This window comes from Homo sapiens, chromosome 10, assembly GCF_000001405.40.
Source record: "Homo sapiens chromosome 10, GRCh38.p14 Primary Assembly".
In the NCBI taxonomy this organism is placed as follows: Eukaryota; Metazoa; Chordata; class Mammalia; order Primates; family Hominidae; genus Homo; species Homo sapiens.
The window spans coordinates 117,411,140-117,418,952 of record NC_000010.11 but is presented as its reverse complement, the minus strand read 5'-3'; the positions used below and the strand labels follow the sequence as shown (position 1 = coordinate 117,418,952).

The window sequence follows — 7,813 nt, the reverse complement described above, 5'->3', positions numbered from 1 at the left end:
CTAGGATATAGATGTTGAAGGGGGTTTTTTTTGTTTGTTTTTTTACTTCTCCCTACTCTTCTGTACTTTATTAATTTTTCAGTGGACTTGTGGCTTTACATAAGTTGGGTAACCCTTAACCAAAATGCTTGGGACCAGAAGTGTTTCAGATTCCAGACTGTCAGATTTGGGAATATTTGCATATACATAATAAGATATCTTAGGGATGAGAAACAAGTCTAAACATGAGATTCGTTTATGTTTTATATATACCTTATGTGTATAGCCTGAAAGTACATTTATACAATATTTTAAATAATTTTGTGCATGAAACAAAATTTTGACTGCGTTTTGACTGCAAGACATCCCATGAGGTCAGGTGTGGAAGTTTCTACTTGTGGTGTCATGTGGGCGCTCAAAAAGTTGCAGATTTTGGAGTTTTGGATTAGGGAGGCTCAACCTCTAATAATAATAATAACAATTATAGGGAGGAGGAAGAAGACGAAAAAAAGAACGTCTAACATCCTCTCAGGCCTCTGTTCCCATTTAAAATCATGATTTTCCTCTCTGGATACCAAGAAGTAAGTGGAGAGGAGGAAGGAAGAACAACACAGTGACAAGTCCATGGGCATCAGGCCAGAATCGACAATTGTAGGACCAAGGCCACTCCCTAGGCCCTCGGGGTGCTGACAAGGTAGGAATTATGCAGCTTCCTGTTACCTTTCTTAGCATCTCACATGCTACAGAAAGAAGAGATACATGAAGCCAGTGGTTTTCCAAAGGTAATCTTACACTGAAGTTTAGTCCATAAAACAGATTAAAAAGGAGCCAGGTAGCTTATTGGGAGGGAGGGAAGGAAGAAGAGATGCTATAGTCCCAACCATTCCCCTTTATCTCCCCTCCCTGACCCCCTACTCCAAAGGTCCTTCTTTTGATCACTGTGCCAAGAAAGAAAACACTTGAAAACCTTGCAATAGTCAACAGGCCTGTCATGTGGAGAGCAGAGAAGCTATTTCTAAGTAATTGGGAAATATATTTTTGATCAAAATCCATTTCCATTCAAACAGCTTCATCCAGCTCTGTTTTAGAAACAAGATTAAGGATGCTTTTATCAAACAAATACATCCTCTGGGAAGTGTGTAAGGTTTGATTTGTGAATACATTTAAGTCTTTGACTTATCTAGTTGCCACATGGACCTTACAATTTATAAGACAGATTAAAATTGTGATTACTAGCAGTTAATTCAGGCTCATAATAATTTACTTGTTCCCAGTGAGTTCTGTGCTGGGCTTCCAAGGGGGGGGAAACATATCCTTTTAGGCTTGTTTCTACCTAACTGTCTCCTGGAAGAACAGGTTACCGTCAGTTTTACTTACATGTTTTTATACAAATAGGGATTTGTGTGTTATTAGGACTCATTTGCAACTATGATCTAAAATATGAAAGGAATATGTCTTTTCTGCATTTTGATGGCTTAACTTGTCTCTGCACCTTTCCGAAGTCTAGACTGTGGGAATGAGAAGCTCTCAGCAGCCTTCAAACACATCCACCAGGTCTCCATCTGTTTAGCCACTGCAGGGCTATTTCCTTTCTTTGGTCTTTTGAAAGGCAGCAGGCGGCATCTCTAAAAATAGTGGCATAAGTGAGTGTGCCTGTGGGCTGGGGGGCTCAAAGGGCCACTGTGAGTGCATTTATGGATTGCCATGTGTTATAGGGCCCCAGCTGAGAGGGACCACACAAAGCACAAGAAAGGGTCGTCAGAGATGTCAGCCACTCCTTGGTCCCCCAGGCAGCCAAAACCTCCGCCGGGGACCCGCACTGAGAACAGCAGCAGAGACTAAGCAGTGTCAAGTAAGGCTCTGCAGGGAGATTGCCTGCTTCTGCAGTCACTTCCTGGGTGACCCTGAGCACATTTTTCCACCTCCTTGAGCTCGTGTACTCACCTGTAAAATGGAAATAATTGGCCAGGTGCGATGTTTCATGCCTGTAATCCCAGCACTTTGGGAGGCCAACGTGGGAAGATCACCGGAGGTCAGGAGTTGGAGACCAGCCTGGCCAACATGGTGAAACCCTATCTCTACTAAAAATACAAAAATTAGCCAGGCATGCTGGCACATGCCTGTAATCCCAGCTACTCCGGAGGCTGAGACAGGAGAATGGCTTGAGCCCAGGAGGCAGAGGTTGCAGTGGGCCAAGATCATGCCACTGCACTCCAGCCTGGGTGACAGAGCAAGACTCTGTTTCAAAAAAAAAAAAAAAGGAAATAATCATAGGCAGTTGGTATGAAGACATTTTATATAACCACAATGGCATCATGATTACTTAAGAAAATGCCTATAACTTTTAGAAATACTTACTGAGTATGTAAAGATGAAATAACATGAGGCCTAGGATAGGCTTTAAAGTAATTCAGCAAAAATAAAGACAGGAGTTATTCCATTTACATTAAGGTCAGGAAGAGGCAGAACAAATCTATGGTGATTAAAAAAAATAAGATCATTGATTGCCTTTGGAAAAGGGTATCAAGGGAACTTTCTGGAGTACTGGAAATGTTCTACAACTTGATTTGAGTGCTGATAACATGGACATAAACATTTGTGAAAATTCATTAACCTGCAAATGGTTCAGAAAAATAATAATAGCATGTTGACAAAGATTCTTTGCTTAGCCAAACTTTATTCAGGCTTCTGATTCTCCTCCTAGGCCCATCTGTGTGCTTCCTATAAGGTCCAGTTTTAGCAAAGAACCTCACTAAGTCAGTTTAGCAAGAAACCCCTATCCTTGACATCTGACCAACCTCCAGCATTCCGCAGGTGATGTCTGATCAAGTTGGCCTATCTTTAGCAAGAATAGTGTTAGGTTCGTTTAGCTAGAATCTCCCTTACCCTTGCTGTTTCCTCTTAGTAATTTTCCATCCATTGACCCCACAGTGCTTCTGGGCTGTAAACTCCCACCTGCCCATGTTGTATTCAGAATTAAGTTCAATCTCTCTCTCTCACTGCAAGACCCTGTTACAGTGGCCCCTATACCTATGGTCCTGAATAAAGTGTTCCTTAGTGTGTTTTGACAAGTATCATTGAATAATTATTTCTTTCTTTCTTTCTTTCTTTCTTTTTTTTAAGACAAGGTCTCACTCTGTCATCCAGGCTAGAGTGAAGTGGCACAACCATAGCTTACTGCAGCCTCCATCACCCAGGCTCAAGTGATCCTCCCACTTCAGCCTCCACGCCTGGCTACTTTTTCTTTTTCAGTAGACACAAGGTCTCACTATGTTGCCTAGGCTGGTCTTGAACTCCCGTGCTCAAGTGATCCTCCCACCTTAGCCTCCCAAAGTATTGGGATAACAGGTGTGAGCCACTGCACCTGGCATAATTGTTTTTTTAACAGTGTGTGTATTCAGAAAAATATTAACAATGTGTATGTGGATAAAGTTTGATGAGTAATGATAAAAACAAGAATGATAAAATGTTAACACTTGGGGAATCTTAGTGAAGGGTATATGGAAATTCTTTGTATTATTTTACAACTTTCTGTAAGTATGAAATTATTTCAAAATAATAAAAGTTTAAAAATTCATCAAACCATACACTTTAAATTGGTTGATGAATTTTACTGTGTACAAATTATACATCAAAGTAAAAGTTAAAAACGAGACTAGAAAGCAAATGTAGCAAAATCTTGATAAATGCTGAGTCCCTGAGTGATAGATGTATGGAGGTTCATTTTACCATCTTGTCTGCTCTTGTGTATGCTTGGCTATTTTATTTTCTTTCTTTCTTTTTTTTTTTTTTTTGAGATGGAGTTTCACTCTTGTTGCCCAGGCTAGAGTGCAATCGCACGATCTCGGCTCACTGCAACCTCCGCCTCCCGGATTCAAGCGATTCTCCTGCCTCAGCCTCCTGAGTAGCTAAGATTACAGGCATGTGCCGTCATGCCTGGCTAATTTTGTATTTTTAGTAGAAAAGGAGTTTCTTTATGTTGGTCAAGCTAGTCTCGAACTCCTGACCTCAGGTAATCCACCCGCCCTGGCCTCCCAAAGTGCTGGGATTACAGGCGTGAGCCATCGCGCCCAGCCTATGCTTGGCTATTTTCTAATGCAAAATAAATTTTAAAAAATTAAAACAATTGAAAATATCGGCTAATCCTGGCCCAGTGCCCAGTGCAGTGTGGCATCCCCCTCTGCAAATGGCTCATGGCTGCTACCCCGCACCTTTTCTCTGGGACAGTCAGGGGATTACACATATGTCAAACTGTTAATACTGGTATTATCTGTGACCATGCTTGACAAAAAATGCACCCCAAGCTGTTTTTCCTCTACCTTGCGGTAAAAGGCTTTAAAAAAGTAACCAGCCAACATTGAAAATAAGTGTCCTTTTTGAACTCCCACTTAGGTGAATGACTTTGTGCAGGCATCTCTTAAAACAGCTGCAACCACAGCAAGGCCATGAGGAAAAGTCACAGAGGACAAAGACAGAGACATTTAAATACCATGTAAGCCAAGAGGAACCACTCTGGATCTAATTCCACTTTTGCAAGGTAAACATTTGCCTTGGCTGAGACAGGAAAGAAAAGTAAGGGCTGATGACCTTTGAGGTGAATCAAACACATCTCTTAAGAAGGTCTCAATTTTTAGGAGGAGGATGATGGCCACTTGTCCCCAAGGGCTGAACAGGGGCACTAAACCAGGAGGAAGAAGACCTGGGCTCTTTTCCCACCCACATCACTGGTGATCCACATGACATAGGGTAAGTCACCTCCTCCTCCCTAATCCTCTTTCCTCCACTGACAAATGAGGGTTTGAACCCAGAGAACCTGTAGGGACGTTCCAGCTTTGTGATTCTTTAAAACAAACATTGATTGAGAAAGATTCCAGGGCAAGGAAGGAGCAGGAACTGTGCCCCATACAGTCATCCAAGAGTCAAAGCCTGGCAAGTTTCCAGAGCCCAGACAGGAGATAAATGAGGAAAGATACATGATGTGGCCAAATCTCCAAATTTCCATGAGAAATGAAAAATCTAGATGTTTATATCCAACCTCCTGCTTTTCAAATGATACTAATTAATTCAAATTTTTTTTTGTTTGTATTTTGTTTTTGAGACGGAGTCTCACTCTGTCGCCAGGCTGGAGTGCGGTGGCACGATCTCTGCTCACTGCAACCTCCAACTCCCTGGTTCAAGCTATACTCCTGCCTCAGCCTCCCGAGTAGCTGGGACTACAGGCACACGCCATCATGCCCAGCTAATTTTTGTATTTTTAGTAGAGACGGGGTTTCATCTTGTTGGCCAGGATGGTCTCGATCTTCTGACCTCGTGATCCACCCGCCTTGGCCCTCGAAGTGCAGGGATTACAGGCGTGATCAAATTTTTAAAATAAACGTTTGTGAGCTAATAAAAATTGCCTGAACAGAATTAGATCCCCAGGCTGCCAGATTGTGTCTTTTGTGTGAGGTCACGTCATCTCCTAAATGGGGGTAAATGAGGATCTCTGATCTTTTCAACAATGATCTTTCAACTTCAAAGCTGAAGACAAATTTTAACGACAAATACCTAAACCATGTAACTCTTAGAGAAATGTTTTTCAAACTTTTTTTTTTTACCATAACTCACAGCAGAGTCCATTTTACATTGCCAGTGGTCACACACACATACACACACATGCACATACACATACAAAATCAGAAGAAAAGACTCACAAAACTTATGCTTACTACATGCAATACACTCTGATATTTTCTATTCTTTTTTACTTCATGTTAATGCAGGTAGCAACCCATTAAATTGATTTCATGGGTCATATTTGCAAAACATTACTTTAGAGTTTATATTTACTTAATTCTCATTTAATTCTCCCTCTCACCTTATGAGGTAGGAATTATTATCATCCCCATTTTACAGAACAGAAAAAAAGAATCTCAAGCTTCACACTCCAGATCTAGCTTTTTTTCTCTTCTTCTTTTAATCAAGAAAGGCATGAATGAGAGGAATTAAAAGATGTCAAAGGGCCAGGTCAGAAAGGAAGAGTCCCAGAGGCAAAGCAATCAAGGTGCGCCTTGGGGAGAATTTTAAAAATCAAACAAGGGGATTAAGGCTGTGTGCTGTGGAGCATGCAACTTACAAACTGCTCTGTCTCCCCTGTGAAATCTGCAGGAAAATTTGCATGGCTGCCCATGCTGATGGGTGAGTGGCTGCTTCAAGGAGGAGCCAGATTTATTATCCACGTGGCCCAAGCAGAGTCAGAGAGAACATGGGTTATGCCGGAGGCTGGGAGGTTGCTACTCTCTAGGTCACATTCATGAACTTGAAACCAGCTCCAGACTTGTAGGAATTGGGGACCGGTGGTTGCAGGGTGAGGAGAGAATGGATAGGCATCGAATCCAGAGCATTTGACCACCAGGGCTGGCCTGGGAAAACTTACCACTGGACTCTATTAATGAACAGACAAAAGTTCCATGTCTTCTGCACAGGCAATGATCAGAGAAGAGAAGAGGAGACAGAAGCCCAGCCCCTGATGTCAGTGAAAGACTGACATAGGGGGAGATTTGATGTGTTAAGAGTGATGAACCTTTCTCCTAATTGAACCAGTCAGCTGAATCTAATGGTACCCTTTCTAATCAATCTTGTTGCAACCATTTGTGATGGGGCAGGAGCCTAGCAACACCTAGTACCGCCTAGCACAACCCAGCACAGCCCAGCACAGCACAGCACAGCACAGCACAGCACAGCACAGCACAGCACAGCCCAGGCCAGCCCAGCACAGCCCAGCAGAGCACAGCATAAACATTGATTGCGCGAGGACTCCAGGGCAGGATCCTGTAACACATCCGGGCTGTATTCTAGAATGGTTGAGTCTATTCCCCGCTCTTAGTCTCTTTTCTGTCTTCTACCTCCAGATGCCTAAAGAGAACAAATGGAGATGGGTGTCTGTTTACAAAGCCAAGCAGCAATGATTTCAAGTATCTGCTTTGGGTAGCTTTCTGCATTCTCCAAAGTTGATCCTTCCAGTGTGGTATAAACACAGTTGTTGGGCAATGTTTAAAGTCAATGAGTCTTAGATTACCATCGCAAAAGTCAATTAACAAGGCAATTTCTTCCCTTGATTTGTATTTGTATATTATTAATGAACTACAAGACCTCCTAGTGAGGTAAATTAGCTTAGGTAACTGGGGAGCAGAGTACAAACATTTTTTTTTCTTTAATGGCCCCAAACATTTATCTCATACAGAGAAAACAATATACAAGCCCAGGGAGGGCTCCCTGTTCCTGCAGCCAAGGAAGCACACCGGAGCAGCTCTGATAAATATTGATGTCTGTTTATCAAAATGCCACAGGCCTTCCTGGCTAGCTGCCACCTCCTCCCACCTCGTGCAGTCCTAACTGGCAGGACTCATTATGTAAGGAGGAGATACAGAAACCTCAACTGCCATTGCTGAAGGACTTTTAGCCTTTGTTTCCTGAATACAAAAAATAAAAATAAAAAATTGTCCTGACCTACAACGGTTGGTGCCAACCAAAGGACCAACATCCTTTCTTTAATGAGGGGGCAGAAATATAGACTCTTATGTACAAAGAGAATGGTAATTGAAAAGATCTCTGACTCACTGAAATAATCAGCTTAGGGATGTGTGAATGCTCCCCCAAAATGCTGCCTTGTTACAAAATCAATGCCATTAAGAAATAAATTGTGCTACATGTAAGTTTCAGAGGATTAACACAGAGATATTGATAACCGCCCATTCGACATGTCATGATTGAGCTATGTGCAAGGCCATGTGAATAATACCATTAATTTAATCCCATTTACCTATTTTTAAGTAACACTGTTCAGCCCCAAAAT

At 42.1% G+C, this 7,813-nt stretch overlaps 1 annotated feature.

Annotated features, from left to right (window-relative positions):
- Positions 7,037-7,525: a transcriptional cis regulatory region, noted in NCBI's record as "candidate enhancer chr10.4282 targeted for multiplex CRISPR interference". NCBI's record gives its function as "positively regulates PDZD8 gene expression in K562 cells {active_cell/tissue: K562}" and the evidence as "EXISTENCE:mutant phenotype evidence [ECO:0000015][PMID:30612741]".